The sequence below is a fragment of the Homo sapiens genome, chromosome 1 (assembly GCF_000001405.40).
Source record: "Homo sapiens chromosome 1, GRCh38.p14 Primary Assembly".
Lineage (NCBI taxonomy): Eukaryota > Metazoa > Chordata > Mammalia > Primates > Hominidae > Homo > Homo sapiens.
The window spans coordinates 145,304,898-145,321,589 of NC_000001.11; the positions used below are offsets into that span (position 1 = coordinate 145,304,898).

Sequence of the window (16,692 nt, forward strand, 5' to 3'; positions counted from 1 at the left end):
GGAGGAAGAAATGGAAACCTAAACATCTACTGCAATGAAAACCAACAGCAATGACAGTAGGAGTAATTCAGCCTTCGTTGAAAACATGACATCAAACACACTCTGGTTTCCCTGAATCTGTTGCCTCCAGGTGTTAACACAGAATTAAGCATCCACAATTGCTGAAAGTCACCTGGGGCATGGTGGGTTTTGATCTTCTTCCCCTTCTTTTCTTCCCCTTCTTCTTTCCTTCTTTGATCTTCTTCCCCTTCTTTTCTTCCCCTTCCCCTTCTTTTCAATTTCTGCAATAAATTCAGACATGGACAGACACATTAAGCTGATTCCCCTACACACATAACAATCCACTGTCTAATCCTCACACAGGGACCTCAGGCTCCCCAGCATAAGAATAGGACACCGTGAGAGATATATTTCAGGAGGCCTGAAGGCTGGTCATGATAGAAATTCCTCGGTTTTTCTCCCAGAAACTGTGGGTAAAATGTCCCTATTCTAGTAGATCGTTATCCCAATATCATTTGTCCCAAGTTTGTGCAAACAGTTATGCCATATTTTTCCAATCAACTTAAAGCAAATACCCTCAAATGATTTCTAGGAGAAAAACTGCAATATTTAGCCCTGTCTCATCAAATACTCAGATTGTTCATGGTTGTGAGGACTTTAGACACTGAAATTAGAGTGAAAAAGGAAATCTACAAACCCTTGAGTCAAAATCATAGTTCTCTGAATTTGTCACATCTGCCCAGGTCCAATGTCATGAGGATAGGATCAGGGCGCCACAGGTATGGCCTGAGACTAGGAAGAGAGTCTTGCTCACTGACCCATCCCTTGCCTGGGCTTCCAGGTAGAACTAGAGTTTCATTCAACCTACATGTGCCTATAGGTCCTCCCTGTGGCAATGACATCTCTCAGCTCAGTAATGGCCACTTGGAGCAGGAATATGATCTTTATATGGAAGACTCAGTGGATCCTTATCACCTTCATAGAAAGGTACTCACCTCCCACGTCAAGAGAAAAGCCAACATGTTTTTCCTCCAATGCATAAAAGGAACTTCCATAGGGCTGGCAGGAGTCAGGCTGTTCAAGACAACTGGAAGGAGTTGAATAACATCTATCCAGTGAGTCCTGCAAGACTTCAGGCTCTACTACCTCCAGCAGCTCCCTGCTGAGCCTGGAAAAGGAGGAAAAAGTAAAGAATAAGCCAGGGGAAATCAGACACAACAGAGCCCCAACTAGGTTTCATGGGTAGCATAGGGAAGTGGTTAAAAAACTAAAAGGATAGATCCATTAATGAGGTAACAAATTATTGCCTTCATGTTGGGACAGAACAGGGCCAAATGGAAAAGAATGAAAGAGAAAGACAGATAGACACACACACACACACACACACACACACACACACACAGACACACACACACACACAGAGAGAGAGAACGAGCTCAGTGAATTGTCCAGGTGACACACTGATGAGGGAGTAACAGGACACTCTGAGTTAGTGCCCTCAGGACACACAGCATACAGGGATCATGAAAAGACTGTGCTCAATAATTTTCCATAAAATGTGCTCAAGTTTCCATGCAGTCGCCATGAGAATACAGTTTTTGAAGTCTGGTCCACCTACAGTAGGTTAGTAAATGATAAGGGGAGGAAGAAATGGAAACCTAAATATCTACTGCAATGAAAACCAACAGCAATGTTAGTAGGAATAATTCAGGCTTGCTGGAAAAGATGTAATCGATAATGTCAGCCCGCTCTGTTTTCCCTGAACCAGGAGTCTCCAGATGTCAACACAGAAGTAGCTGTTCACAATTGCTCAGTTACCTGGGGCATGGTGGGCCTTGGTCTTCTTCCTCTTCTTGGTCCTTTTTAGTTCCTGCAATACATTCAGACAGGGACAGACAAAATAAGCCAATTCACCTACACCCATAACAGTCCACTGTCTAATCCCCACACAGGGATCTCAGGCTCCTCAGCATGAGAACAGGACAATGTGAGAGAGATACTTCAGGAGGCCTGAAAGCTGGTCATGATATTCTTTGGTTTGCATCTCAGAACCAAGGGTGAAATATCCCCATTCTGGTAGATCGTTATCCCAAAATCATTTATCCCAAGTTTGTGCAAACAGTTATGCCTTATTGTTCCCATCAGTTCAAAGAAAATGCCCCAGATGATTTCTAGGAGGAAAACTGCAGTATTCAGCCCTGTCTCATCAAATGCCCAGCTCGTTCATGGATGCAAGAATTTTAGACACTGAAATTAGAATGAAGGAGGAAATCTACAAACCCTTCAGTCCAAATCATAGTTCTGTGAATTTTTTACATCTGCCTGGGTCCAATGTGCTGAGAGCGGGCTCAGCTTGCCACAGGCATGGCTGGAGACTAGGAATAGAGCCTTGCTCACTGACCCATTTCATGTCTAGGCTTCCAACTGAGACTACAGTTTCATTACAACCTATATGCGCCCATAGGTCCTGCCTGCGGCAATGACATCTCTCGGGTCAGTAAGGGCCACTTGGAACAGGAATATCACCCCTATCTGGAAGACCAGGTGGAGGCTTATCACCTTCACAGTAAGGTACTCACTGTCCACGTCAAGAGCCAAGCCAAGGTACTGTTCCTCCAATGAGTAAACAGCACTGCTGTAGGGCTGGCCTAAGTCAGGCAGTTCAAGATAACCTGAAGGAGTCGAATAACATCTATCCAGTGAGTCCTGCAAGACTTCAGGCTCTTTCTCATCCAGCAGCTCCCTGCTGAGCCTGGAAAAGTAGGAAAAAGTAAAGAATAAGCCAGGGGGAATCAGAAACCACACAGCCCCAGCTAGATTTCATGGCTAACATAAGGAACTGTTTAAAAAGAAAAAGGACAGATCCATTAATGAGGTAATGAATTATTGCCTTTATGTTGGGATAGACCAGGGCCAGGTAGAAAAGAATGAAAGAGAAAGACAGGGAGAGGGAGGGAGAGAGAGAGAGAGAGAGGAGAAAGTGAGCTCAGCGAGTTGGCCGGGTGACACACTGATGAAGGGGTCAAAGGACACTCTGAGTTAGTGCCCTCGGGACACACAGCGAACAGTGATCATGAAAAGAGTGGGCTCAATAATTTTCCATAAACTTGCTCAAGATTCCATGCAGTTGCCATACAGCCTTTGAGGTATGGTCAACCTATAGTAAGTTAGTAAATGATAAGGGGAGGAAGAAATGGAAACCTAAACATCTACTGCAATGAAAACCAACAGCAATGACAGTAGGAGTAATTCAGCCTTCGTTGAAAACATGACATCAAACACACTCTGGTTTCCCTGAATCTGTTGCCTCCAGGTGTTAACACAGAATTAAGCATCCACAATTGCTGAAAGTCACCTGGGGCATGGTGGGTTTTGATCTTCTTCCCCTTCTTTTCTTCCCCTTCTTCTTTCCTTCTTTGATCTTCTTCCCCTTCTTTTCTTCCCCTTCCCCTTCTTTTCAATTTCTGCAATAAATTCAGACATGGACAGACACATTAAGCTGATTCCCCTACACACATAACAATCCACTGTCTAATCCTCACACAGGGACCTCAGGCTCCTCAGCATAAGAATAGGACACCGTGAGAGATATATTTCAGGAGGCCTGAAGGCTGGTCATGATAGAAATTCCTCGGTTTTTCTCCCAGAAACTGTGGGTAAAATGTCCCTATTCTAGTAGATCGTTATCCCAATATCATTTGTCCCAAGTTTGTGCAAACAGTTATGCCATATTTTTCCAATCAACTTAAAGCAAATACCCTCAAATGATTTCTAGGAGAAAAACTGCAATATTTAGCCCTGTCTCATCAAATACTCAGATTGTTCATGGTTGTGAGGACTTTAGACACTGAAATTAGAGTGAAAAAGGAAATCTACAAACCCTTGAGTCAAAATCATAGTTCTCTGAATTTGTCACATCTGCCCAGGTCCAATGTCATGAGGATAGGATCAGGGCGCCACAGGTATGGCCTGAGACTAGGAAGAGAGTCTTGCTCACTGACCCATCCCTTGCCTGGGCTTCCAGGTAGAACTAGAGTTTCATTCAACCTACATGTGCCTATAGGTCCTCCCTGTGGCAATGACATCTCTCAGCTCAGTAATGGCCACTTGGAGCAGGAATATGATCTTTATATGGAAGACTCAGTGGATCCTTATCACCTTCATAGAAAGGTACTCACCTCCCACGTCAAGAGAAAAGCCAACATGTTTTTCCTCCAATGCATAAAAGGAACTTCCATAGGGCTGGCAGGAGTCAGGCTGTTCAAGACAACTGGAAGGAGTTGAATAACATCTATCCAGTGAGTCCTGCAAGACTTCAGGCTCTACTACCTCCAGCAGCTCCCTGCTGAGCCTGGAAAAGGAGGAAAAAGTAAAGAATAAGCCAGGGGAAATCAGACACAACAGAGCCCCAACTAGGTTTCATGGGTAGCATAGGGAAGTGGTTAAAAAACTAAAAGGATAGATCAATTAATGAGGTAACAAATTATTGCCTTCATGTTGGGACAGAACAGGGCCAAATGGAAAAGAATGAAAGAGAAAGACAGATAGACACACACACACACACACACACACACACACACACAGACACACACACACACACAGAGAGAGAGAACGAGCTCAGTGAATTATCCAGGTGACACACTGATGAGGGAGTAACAGGACACTCTGAGTTAGTGCCCTCAGGACACACAGCATACAGGGATCATGAAAAGACTGTGCTCAATAATTTTCCATAAAATGTGCTCAAGTTTCCATGCAGTCGCCATGAGAATACAGTTTTTGAAGTCTGGTCCACCTACAGTAGGTTAGTAAATGATAAGGGGAGGAAGAAATGGAAACCTAAATATCTACTGCAATGAAAACCAACAGCAATGTTAGTAGGAATAATTCAGGCTTGCTGGAAAAGATGTAATCGATAATGTCAGCCCGCTCTGTTTTCCCTGAACCAGGAGTCTCCAGATGTCAACACAGAAGTAGCTGTTCACAATTGCTCAGTTACCTGGGGCATGGTGGGCCTTGGTCTTCTTCCTCTTCTTGGTCCTTTTTAGTTCCTGCAATACATTCAGACAGGGACAGACAAAATAAGCCAATTCACCTACACCCATAACAGTCCACTGTCTAATCCCCACACAGGGATCTCAGGCTCCTCAGCATGAGAACAGGACAATGTGAGAGAGATACTTCAGGAGGCCTGAAAGCTGGTCATGATATTCTTTGGTTTGCATCTCAGAACCAAGGGTGAAATATCCCCATTCTGGTAGATCGTTATCCCAAAATCATTTATCCCAAGTTTGTGCAAACAGTTATGCCTTATTGTTCCCATCAGTTCAAAGAAAATGCCCCAGATGATTTCTAGGAGGAAAACTGCAGTATTCAGCCCTGTCTCATCAAATGCCCAGCTCGTTCATGGATGCAAGAATTTTAGACACTGAAATTAGAATGAAGGAGGAAATCTACAAACCCTTCAGTCCAAATCATACTTCTGTGAATTTTTTACATCTGCCTGGGTCCAATGTGCTGAGAGCGGGCTCAGCTTGCCACAGGCATGGCTGGAGACTAGGAATAGAGCCTTGCTCACTGACCCATTTCATGTCTAGGCTTCCAACTGAGACTACAGTTTCATTACAACCTATATGCGCCCATAGGTCCTGCCTGCGGCAATGACATCTCTCGGGTCAGTAAGGGCCACTTGGAACAGGAATATCACCCCTATCTGGAAGACCAGGTGGAGGCTTATCACCTTCACAGTAAGGTACTCACTGTCCACGTCAAGAGCCAAGCCAAGGTACTGTTCCTCCAATGAGTAAACAGCACTGCTGTAGGGCTGGCCTAAGTCAGGCAGTTCAAGATAACCTGAAGGAGTCGAATAACATCTATCCAGTGAGTCCTGCAAGACTTCAGGCTCTTTCTCATCCAGCAGCTCCCTGCTGAGCCTGGAAAAGTAGGAAAAAGTAAAGAATAAGCCAGGGGGAATCAGAAACCACACAGCCCCAGCTAGATTTCATGGCTAACATAAGGAACTGTTTAAAAAGAAAAAGGACAGATCCATTAATGAGGTAATGAATTATTGCCTTTATGTTGGGATAGACCAGGGCCAGGTAGAAAAGAATGAAAGAGAAAGACAGGGAGAGGGAGGGAGAGAGAGAGAGAGAGAGAGGAGAAAGTAAGCTCAGCGAGTTGGCCGGGTGACACACTGATGAAGGGGTCAAAGGACACTCTGAGTTAGTGCCCTCGGGACACACAGCGAACAGTGATCATGAAAAGAGTGGGCTCAATAATTTTCCATAAACTTGCTCAAGATTCCATGCAGTTGCCATACAGCCTTTGAGGTATGGTCAACCTATAGTAAGTTAGTAAATGATAAGGGGAGGAAGAAATGGAAACCTAAACATCTACTGCAATGAAAACCAACAGCAATATCAGGAGGAGTAATTCAACCTTCGTTGAAAACATGAAATTGAACACACTCTTGTTTTCCCTGGACCTGGCATCTCCAGGTGTCAACACAGAATTAAGCATCCATAATTGCTCAAAGTTACCTGGGGCATGATGGGTCTTGGTCTTCTTCCACTTCTTGGTACTTTTCAATTTCTGCAATAAGTTCAGACATGGACAGACATATTAAGCTGGTTCTCCTACACACATAACAATCCACTGTCTAATCCTCACACAGGGACTTCAGGCTCCTCAGCATGAGAATAGGACACTGTGAGAGATAGTCTTCAGGAGGCCTGAAGGCTGATCACGATAGAGATTCCTTGGTTTTTGTCCCAGAAACTGTGGGTAAAATTCCCTATTCTGGTAGATCGTTATCCCAATATCATTTGTCCCAAGTTTGTGCAAATGGTTATGCCATATTTTTCCAATCGATTTAAAGCAAATGCCCCCAAATGGTTGCTAGGAGAAAAACTGCACTATTCAGCCCTGTCTCATCAAATACTCAGATTGTTCACGGTAGCGAGGATTTTAGATGCTGAAATTAGAGTGAAGGATGAAATCTACAAGATCTACAAAATTCAGACAAAATCAGAGTTGTGTGAATTTGTCACATCTGCCCAGGTCCAACGTCATGAGAGTAGGATTAGGGCGCCACAGGCATGGCCTGAGACTAGGAAGAGAGCCTTGCTCACTGACCCATCCCTTGTCTGGGCTTCCAAGTGGAACTAGAGTTTCATTCAACCTACATGTGCCTATAGGACCTCCCTGTGGCAATGACATCTCTCAGCTCAGTAAGGGCCACTTGCAGTAGGAATATGACCCTAACCAGAAGACTCAGTGGATCCTTATCACCTTCATAGAAAGGTACTCACCATCCATGTCAACAGCCAAGCCAACACGCTGTTGCTCCAATACGTAAAAGGCACTTCTGTAGGGCTGGCATGAGTCAGTCAGTTCAAGACAACCTGAAGGAGTTGAATAACATCTATCCAGTGAGTCCTGCAAGACTTCAGGCCCTTTCTCATCCAGCAGCTCCCTGCTGAGCCTGGAAAAGTGGGAAAAAGTAAAGAATAAGCCAGGGGGAATCAGAAACCACACAGCCCCAGCTAGATTTCATGGCTAACGTAAGGAAGAGTTTGAAAAGAAAAAGGACAGATCCATTAATGAGGTAACAAATTATTGCCTTTATGTTGGGATAGAACAGGGCCAGGTAGAAAACAATGAAAGAGAAAGACAGAGAGAGAGAGAGAGACAGAGACAGAGAGAGAGACAGAGACAGAGACAGAGAGAAAGTGACCTAGTGAATTGGCCAGGTGACATACTGGTAAGGGAGTAAAAGGACACTCTGAGTTAGTGCCCTCATGACACACAGCAAACTGTGATCATGAAAAGAGTGAGCTCAATAGTTTTCCATAAAATATGCTCAAAATTCGATGCAGTGGCCATGAGAGTACAGCTTTTGAAGTATGGTCAACCTATGGTACGTTAGGAAATGATAAGGGGAGGAAGAAATGGAAACCTAAACATCTACTGCAATGAAAACCAACAGCAATGACAGTAGGAGTAATTCAGCCTTCGTTGAAAACATGACATCAAACACACTCTGGTTTCCCTGAATCTGTTGCCTCCAGGTGTTAACACAGAATTAAGCATCCACAATTGCTGAAAGTCACCTGGGGCATGGTGGGGTTTGATCTTCTTCCCCTTCTTTTCTTCCCCTTCTTCTTTCCTTCTTTGATCTTCTTCCCCTTCTTTTCTTCCCCTTCCCCTTCTTTTCAATTTCTGCAATAAATTCAGACATGGACAGACACATTAAGCTGATTCCCCTACACACATAACAATCCACTGTCTAATCCTCACACAGGGACCTCAGGCTCCTCAGCATAAGAATAGGACACCGTGAGAGATATATTTCAGGAGGCCTGAAGGCTGGTCATGATAGAAATTCCTCGGTTTTTCTCCCAGAAACTGTGGGTAAAATGTCCCTATTCTAGTAGATCGTTATCCCAATATCATTTGTCCCAAGTTTGTGCAAACAGTTATGCCATATTTTTCCAATCAACTTAAAGCAAATACCCTCAAATGATTTCTAGGAGAAAAACTGCAATATTTAGCCCTGTCTCATCAAATACTCAGATTGTTCATGGTTGTGAGGACTTTAGACACTGAAATTAGAGTGAAAAAGGAAATCTACAAACCCTTGAGTCAAAATCATAGTTCTCTGAATTTGTCACATCTGCCCAGGTCCAATGTCATGAGGATAGGATCAGGGCGCCACAGGTATGGCCTGAGACTAGGAAGAGAGTCTTGCTCACTGACCCATCCCTTGCCTGGGCTTCCAGGTAGAACTAGAGTTTCATTCAACCTACATGTGCCTATAGGTCCTCCCTGTGGCAATGACATCTCTCAGCTCAGTAATGGCCACTTGGAGCAGGAATATGATCTTTATATGGAAGACTCAGTGGATCCTTATCACCTTCATAGAAAGGTACTCACCTCCCACGTCAAGAGAAAAGCCAACATGTTTTTCCTCCAATGCATAAAAGGAACTTCCATAGGGCTGGCAGGAGTCAGGCTGTTCAAGACAACTGGAAGGAGTTGAATAACATCTATCCAGTGAGTCCTGCAAGACTTCAGGCTCTACTACCTCCAGCAGCTCCCTGCTGAGCCTGGAAAAGGAGGAAAAAGTAAAGAATAAGCCAGGGGAAATCAGACACAACAGAGCCCCAACTAGGTTTCATGGGTAGCATAGGGAAGTGGTTAAAAAACTAAAAGGATAGATCCATTAATGAGGTAACAAATTATTGCCTTCATGTTGGGACAGAACAGGGCCAAATGGAAAAGAATGAAAGAGAAAGACAGATAGACACACACACACACACACACACACACACACACACACACAGACACACACACAGACACACACACACACAGAGAGAGAACGAGCTCAGTGAATTGTCCAGGTGACACACTGATGAGGGAGTAACAGGACACTCTGAGTTAGTGCCCTCAGGACACACAGCATACAGGGATCATGAAAAGACTGTGCTCAATAATTTTCCATAAAATGTGCTCAAGTTTCCATGCAGTCGCCATGAGAATACAGTTTTTGAAGTCTGGTCCACCTACAGTAGGTTAGTAAATGATAAGGGGAGGAAGAAATGGAAACCTAAATATCTACTGCAATGAAAACCAACAGCAATGTTAGTAGGAATAATTCAGGCTTGCTGGAAAAGATGTAATCGATAATGTCAGCCCGCTCTGTTTTCCCTGAACCAGGAGTCTCCAGATGTCAACACAGAAGTAGCTGTTCACAATTGCTCAGTTACCTGGGGCATGGTGGGCCTTGGTCTTCTTCCTCTTCTTGGTCCTTTTTAGTTCCTGCAATACATTCAGACAGGGACAGACAAAATAAGCCAATTCACCTACACCCATAACAGTCCACTGTCTAATCCCCACACAGGGATCTCAGGCTCCTCAGCATGAGAACAGGACAATGTGAGAGAGATACTTCAGGAGGCCTGAAAGCTGGTCATGATATTCTTTGGTTTGCATCTCAGAACCAAGGGTGAAATATCCCCATTCTGGTAGATCGTTATCCCAAAATCATTTATCCCAAGTTTGTGCAAACAGTTATGCCTTATTGTTCCCATCAGTTCAAAGAAAATGCCCCAGATGATTTCTAGGAGGAAAACTGCAGTATTCAGCCCTGTCTCATCAAATGCCCAGCTCGTTCATGGATGCAAGAATTTTAGACACTGAAATTAGAATGAAGGAGGAAATCTACAAACCCTTCAGTCCAAATCATACTTCTGTGAATTTTTTACATCTGCCTGGGTCCAATGTGCTGAGAGCGGGCTCAGCTTGCCACAGGCATGGCTGGAGACTAGGAATAGAGCCTTGCTCACTGACCCATTTCATGTCTAGGCTTCCAACTGAGACTACAGTTTCATTACAACCTATATGCGCCCATAGGTCCTGCCTGCGGCAATGACATCTCTCGGGTCAGTAAGGGCCACTTGGAACAGGAATATCACCCCTATCTGGAAGACCAGGTGGAGGCTTATCACCTTCACAGTAAGGTACTCACTGTCCACGTCAAGAGCCAAGCCAAGGTACTGTTCCTCCAATGAGTAAACAGCACTGCTGTAGGGCTGGCCTAAGTCAGGCAGTTCAAGATAACCTGAAGGAGTCGAATAACATCTATCCAGTGAGTCCTGCAAGACTTCAGGCTCTTTCTCATCCAGCAGCTCCCTGCTGAGCCTGGAAAAGTAGGAAAAAGTAAAGAATAAGCCAGGGGGAATCAGAAACCACACAGCCCCAGCTAGATTTCATGGCTAACATAAGGAACTGTTTAAAAAGAAAAAGGACAGATCCATTAATGAGGTAATGAATTATTGCCTTTATGTTGGGATAGACCAGGGCCAGGTAGAAAAGAATGAAAGAGAAAGACAGGGAGAGGAAGGGAGAGAGAGAGAGAGAGAGAGAGGAGAAAGTAAGCTCAGCGAGTTGGCCGGGTGACACACTGATGAAGGGGTCAAAGGACACTCTGAGTTAGTGCCCTCGGGACACACAGCGAACAGTGATCATGAAAAGAGTGGGCTCAATAATTTTCCATAAACTTGCTCAAGATTCCATGCAGTTGCCATACAGCCTTTGAGGTATGGTCAACCTATAGTAAGTTAGTAAATGATAAGGGGAGGAAGAAATGGAAACCTAAACATCTACTGCAATGAAAACCAACAGCAATATCAGGAGGAGTAATTCAACCTTCGTTGAAAACATGAAATTGAACACACTCTTGTTTTCCCTGGACCTGGCATCTCCAGGTGTCAACACAGAATTAAGCATCCATAATTGCTCAAAGTTACCTGGGGCATGATGGGTCTTGGTCTTCTTCCACTTCTTGGTACTTTTCAATTTCTGCAATAAGTTCAGACATGGACAGACATATTAAGCTGGTTCTCCTACACACATAACAATCCACTGTCTAATCCTCACACGGGGACTTCAGGCTCCTCAGCATGAGAATAGGACACTGTGAGAGGTAGTCTTCAGGAGGCCTGAAGGCTGATCACGATAGAGATTCCTTGGTTTTTGTCCCAGAAACTGTGGGTAAAATTCCCTATTCTGGTAGATCGTTATCCCAATATCATTTGTCCCAAGTTTGTGCAAATGGTTATGCCATATTTTTCCAATCGATTTAAAGCAAATGCCCCCAAATGGTTGCTAGGAGAAAAACTGCACTATTCAGCCCTGTCTCATCAAATACTCAGATTGTTCACGGTAGCGAGGATTTTAGACGCTGAAATTAGAGTGAAGGATGAAATCTACAAGATCTACAAAATTGAGACAAAATCAGAGTTGTGTGAATTTGTCACATCTGCCCAGGTCCAACGTCATGAGAGTAGGATTAGGGCGCCACAGGCATGGCCTGAGACTAGGAAGAGAGCCTTGCTCACTGACCCATCCCTTGTCTGGGCTTCCAAGTGGAACTAGAGTTTCATTCAACCTACATGTGCCTATAGGACCTCCCTGTGGCAATGACATCTCTCAGCTCAGTAAGGGCCACTTGCAGTAGGAATATGACCCTAACCAGAAGACTCAGTGGATCCTTATCACCTTCATAGAAAGGTACTCACCATCCATGTCAACAGCCAAGCCAACACGCTGTTGCTCCAATACGTAAAAGGCACTTCTGTAGGGCTGGCATGAGTCAGTCAGTTCAAGACAACCTGAAGGAGTTGAATAACATCTATCCAGTGAGTCCTGCAAGACTTCAGGCCCTTTCTCATCCAGCAGCTCCCTGCTGAGCCTGGAAAAGTGGGAAAAAGTAAAGAATAAGCCAGGGGGAATCAGAAACCACACAGCCCCAGCTAGATTTCATGGCTAACGTAAGGAAGAGTTTGAAAAGAAAAAGGACAGATCCATTAATGAGGTAACAAATTATTGCCTTTATGTTGGGATAGAACAGGGCCAGGTAGAAAACAATGAAAGAGAAAGACAGAGAGAGAGAGAGAGACAGAGACAGAGAGAGAGAGACAGAGACAGAGACAGAGAGAAAGTGACCTAGTGAATTGGCCAGGTGACATACTGGTAAGGGAGTAAAAGGACACTCTGAGTTAGTGCCCTCATGACACACAGCAAACTGTGATCATGAAAAGAGTGAGCTCAATAGTTTTCCATAAAATATGCTCAAAATTCGATGCAGTGGCCATGAGAGTACAGCTTTTGAAGTATGGTCAACCTATGGTACGTTAGGAAATGATAAGGGGAGGAAGAAATGGAAACCTAAACATCTACTGCAATGAAAACCAACAGCAATGACAGTAGGAGTAATTCAGCCTTCGTTGAAAACATGACATCAAACACACTCTGGTTTCCCTGAATCTGTTGCCTCCAGGTGTTAACACAGAATTAAGCATCCACAATTGCTGAAAGTCACCTGGGGCATGGTGGGTTTTGATCTTCTTCCCCTTCTTTTCTTCCCCTTCTTCTTTCCTTCTTTGATCTTCTTCCCCTTCTTTTCTTCCCCTTCCCCTTCTTTTCAATTTCTGCAATAAATTCAGACATGGACAGACACATTAAGCTGATTCCCCTACACACATAACAATCCACTGTCTAATCCTCACACAGGGACCTCAGGCTCCTCAGCATAAGAATAGGACACCGTGAGAGATATATTTCAGGAGGCCTGAAGGCTGGTCATGATAGAAATTCCTCGGTTTTTCTCCCAGAAACTGTGGGTAAAATGTCCCTATTCTAGTAGATCGTTATCCCAATATCATTTGTCCCAAGTTTGTGCAAACAGTTATGCCATATTTTTCCAATCAACTTAAAGCAAATACCCTCAAATGATTTCTAGGAGAAAAACTGCAATATTTAGCCCTGTCTCATCAAATACTCAGATTGTTCATGGTTGTGAGGACTTTAGACACTGAAATTAGAGTGAAAAAGGAAATCTACAAACCCTTGAGTCAAAATCATAGTTCTCTGAATTTGTCACATCTGCCCAGGTCCAATGTCATGAGGATAGGATCAGGGCGCCACAGGTATGGCCTGAGACTAGGAAGAGAGTCTTGCTCACTGACCCATCCCTTGCCTGGGCTTCCAGGTAGAACTAGAGTTTCATTCAACCTACATGTGCCTATAGGTCCTCCCTGTGGCAATGACATCTCTCAGCTCAGTAATGGCCACTTGGAGCAGGAATATGATCTTTATATGGAAGACTCAGTGGATCCTTATCACCTTCATAGAAAGGTACTCACCTCCCACGTCAAGAGAAAAGCCAACATGTTTTTCCTCCAATGCATAAAAGGAACTTCCATAGGGCTGGCAGGAGTCAGGCTGTTCAAGACAACTGGAAGGAGTTGAATAACATCTATCCAGTGAGTCCTGCAAGACTTCAGGCTCTACTACCTCCAGCAGCTCCCTGCTGAGCCTGGAAAAGGAGGAAAAAGTAAAGAATAAGCCAGGGGAAATCAGACACAACAGAGCCCCAACTAGGTTTCATGGGTAGCATAGGGAAGTGGTTAAAAAACTAAAAGGATAGATCCATTAATGAGGTAACAAATTATTGCCTTCATGTTGGGACAGAACAGGGCCAAATGGAAAAGAATGAAAGAGAAAGACAGATAGACACACACACACACACACACACACACACACACACACAGACACACACACAGACACACACACACACAGAGAGAGAACGAGCTCAGTGAATTGTCCAGGTGACACACTGATGAGGGAGTAACAGGACACTCTGAGTTAGTGCCCTCAGGACACACAGCATACAGGGATCATGAAAAGACTGTGCTCAATAATTTTCCATAAAATGTGCTCAAGTTTCCATGCAGTCGCCATGAGAATACAGTTTTTGAAGTCTGGTCCACCTACAGTAGGTTAGTAAATGATAAGGGGAGGAAGAAATGGAAACCTAAATATCTACTGCAATGAAAACCAACAGCAATGTTAGTAGGAATAATTCAGGCTTGCTGGAAAAGATGTAATCGATAATGTCAGCCCGCTCTGTTTTCCCTGAACCAGGAGTCTCCAGATGTCAACACAGAAGTAGCTGTTCACAATTGCTCAGTTACCTGGGGCATGGTGGGCCTTGGTCTTCTTCCTCTTCTTGGTCCTTTTTAGTTCCTGCAATACATTCAGACAGGGACAGACAAAATAAGCCAATTCACCTACACCCATAACAGTCCACTGTCTAATCCCCACACAGGGATCTCAGGCTCCTCAGCATGAGAACAGGACAATGTGAGAGAGATACTTCAGGAGGCCTGAAAGCTGGTCATGATATTCTTTGGTTTGCATCTCAGAACCAAGGGTGAAATATCCCCATTCTGGTAGATCGTTATCCCAAAATCATTTATCCCAAGTTTGTGCAAACAGTTATGCCTTATTGTTCCCATCAGTTCAAAGAAAATGCCCCAGATGATTTCTAGGAGGAAAACTGCAGTATTCAGCCCTGTCTCATCAAATGCCCAGCTCGTTCATGGATGCAAGAATTTTAGACACTGAAATTAGAATGAAGGAGGAAATCTACAAACCCTTCAGTCCAAATCATACTTCTGTGAATTTTTTACATCTGCCTGGGTCCAATGTGCTGAGAGCGGGCTCAGCTTGCCACAGGCATGGCTGGAGACTAGGAATAGAGCCTTGCTCACTGACCCATTTCATGTCTAGGCTTCCAACTGAGACTACAGTTTCATTACAACCTATATGCGCCCATAGGTCCTGCCTGCGGCAATGACATCTCTCGGGTCAGTAAGGGCCACTTGGAACAGGAATATCACCCCTATCTGGAAGACCAGGTGGAGGCTTATCACCTTCACAGTAAGGTACTCACTGTCCACGTCAAGAGCCAAGCCAAGGTACTGTTCCTCCAATGAGTAAACAGCACTGCTGTAGGGCTGGCCTAAGTCAGGCAGTTCAAGATAACCTGAAGGAGTCGAATAACATCTATCCAGTGAGTCCTGCAAGACTTCAGGCTCTTTCTCATCCAGCAGCTCCCTGCTGAGCCTGGAAAAGTAGGAAAAAGTAAAGAATAAGCCAGGGGGAATCAGAAACCACACAGCCCCAGCTAGATTTCATGGCTAACATAAGGAACTGTTTAAAAAGAAAAAGGACAGATCCATTAATGAGGTAATGAATTATTGCCTTTATGTTGGGATAGACCAGGGCCAGGTAGAAAAGAATGAAAGAGAAAGACAGGGAGAGGGAGAGAGAGAGAGAGAGAGGAGAAAGTGAGCTCAGCGAGTTGGCCGGGTGACACACTGATGAAGGGGTCAAAGGACACTCTGAGTTAGTGCCCTCGGGACACACAGCGAACAGTGATCATGAAAAGAGTGGGCTCAATAATTTTCCATAAACTTGCTCAAGATTCCATGCAGTTGCCATACAGCCTTTGAGGTATGGTCAACCTATAGTAAGTTAGTAAATGATAAGGGGAGGAAGAAATGGAAACCTAAACATCTACTGCAATGAAAACCAACAGCAATGTCAGGAGGAGTAATTCAACCTTCGTTGAAAACATGAAATTGAACACACTCTTGTTTTCCCTGGACCTGGCATCTCCAGGTGTCAACACAGAATTAAGCATCCATAATTGCTCAAAGTTACCTGGGGCATGATGGGTCTTGGTCTTCTTCCACTTCTTGGTACTTTTCAATTTCTGCAATAAGTTCAGACATGGACAGACATATTAAGCTGGTTCTCCTACACACATAACAATCCACTGTCTAATCCTCACACAGGGACTTCAGGCTCCTCAGCATGAGAATAGGACACTGTGAGAGGTAGTCTTCAGGAGGCCTGAAGGCTGATCACGATAGAGATTCCTTGGTTTTTGTCCCAGAAACTGTGGGTAAAATTCCCTATTCTGGTAGATCGTTATCCCAATATCATTTGTCCCAAGTTTGTGCAAATGGTTATGCCATATTTTTCCAATCGATTTAAAGCAAATGCCCCCAAATGGTTGCTAGGAGAAAAACTGCACTATTCAGCCCTGTCTCATCAAATACTCAGATTGTTCACGGTAGCGAGGATTTTAGACGCTGAAATTAGAGTGAAGGATGAAATCTACAAGATCTACAAAATTGAGACAAAATCAGAGTTGTGTGAATTTGTCACATCTGCCCAGGTCCAACGTCATGAGAGTAGGATTAGGGCGCCACAGGCATGGCCTGAGACTAGGAAGAGAGCCTTGCTCACTGACCCATCCCTTGTCTGGGCTTCCAAGTG

At 44.2% G+C, this 16,692-nt stretch overlaps 1 protein-coding gene across 3 annotated transcripts in view; it reads right to left on the minus strand.

The window, feature by feature from the left end:
• NBPF20 (NBPF member 20) overlaps positions 1-16,692 on the minus strand; it is a 135,704-nt gene that overhangs the window by 14,998 nt on the left and 104,014 nt on the right. For 2 of the 3 annotated variants that reach the window (NM_001278267.1, NM_001397211.1), the window contains 21 exons: positions 16,072-16,123; positions 15,299-15,471; positions 14,538-14,589; positions 13,707-13,879; positions 12,884-12,992; positions 12,081-12,253; positions 11,310-11,361; positions 10,529-10,701; positions 9,768-9,819; positions 8,935-9,107; positions 8,112-8,220; positions 7,311-7,483; positions 6,540-6,591; positions 5,761-5,933; positions 5,000-5,051; positions 4,179-4,351; positions 3,356-3,464; positions 2,580-2,752; positions 1,819-1,870; positions 996-1,168; positions 173-281 (listed from right to left, as the gene is read on the minus strand). The exons of the other annotated variant lie outside the window; for it this stretch is intronic. In NM_001278267.1, the coding sequence (NP_001265196.1) occupies positions 173-281; positions 996-1,168; positions 1,819-1,870; positions 2,580-2,752; positions 3,356-3,464; positions 4,179-4,351; positions 5,000-5,051; positions 5,761-5,933; positions 6,540-6,591; positions 7,311-7,483; positions 8,112-8,220; positions 8,935-9,107; positions 9,768-9,819; positions 10,529-10,701; positions 11,310-11,361; positions 12,081-12,253; positions 12,884-12,992; positions 13,707-13,879; positions 14,538-14,589; positions 15,299-15,471; positions 16,072-16,123 (2,530 nt within the window). The remainder of the gene's footprint in view (positions 1-172; positions 282-995; positions 1,169-1,818; positions 1,871-2,579; positions 2,753-3,355; positions 3,465-4,178; positions 4,352-4,999; positions 5,052-5,760; positions 5,934-6,539; positions 6,592-7,310; positions 7,484-8,111; positions 8,221-8,934; positions 9,108-9,767; positions 9,820-10,528; positions 10,702-11,309; positions 11,362-12,080; positions 12,254-12,883; positions 12,993-13,706; positions 13,880-14,537; positions 14,590-15,298; positions 15,472-16,071; positions 16,124-16,692) is intronic. 3 annotated transcript variants of the gene reach the window in all.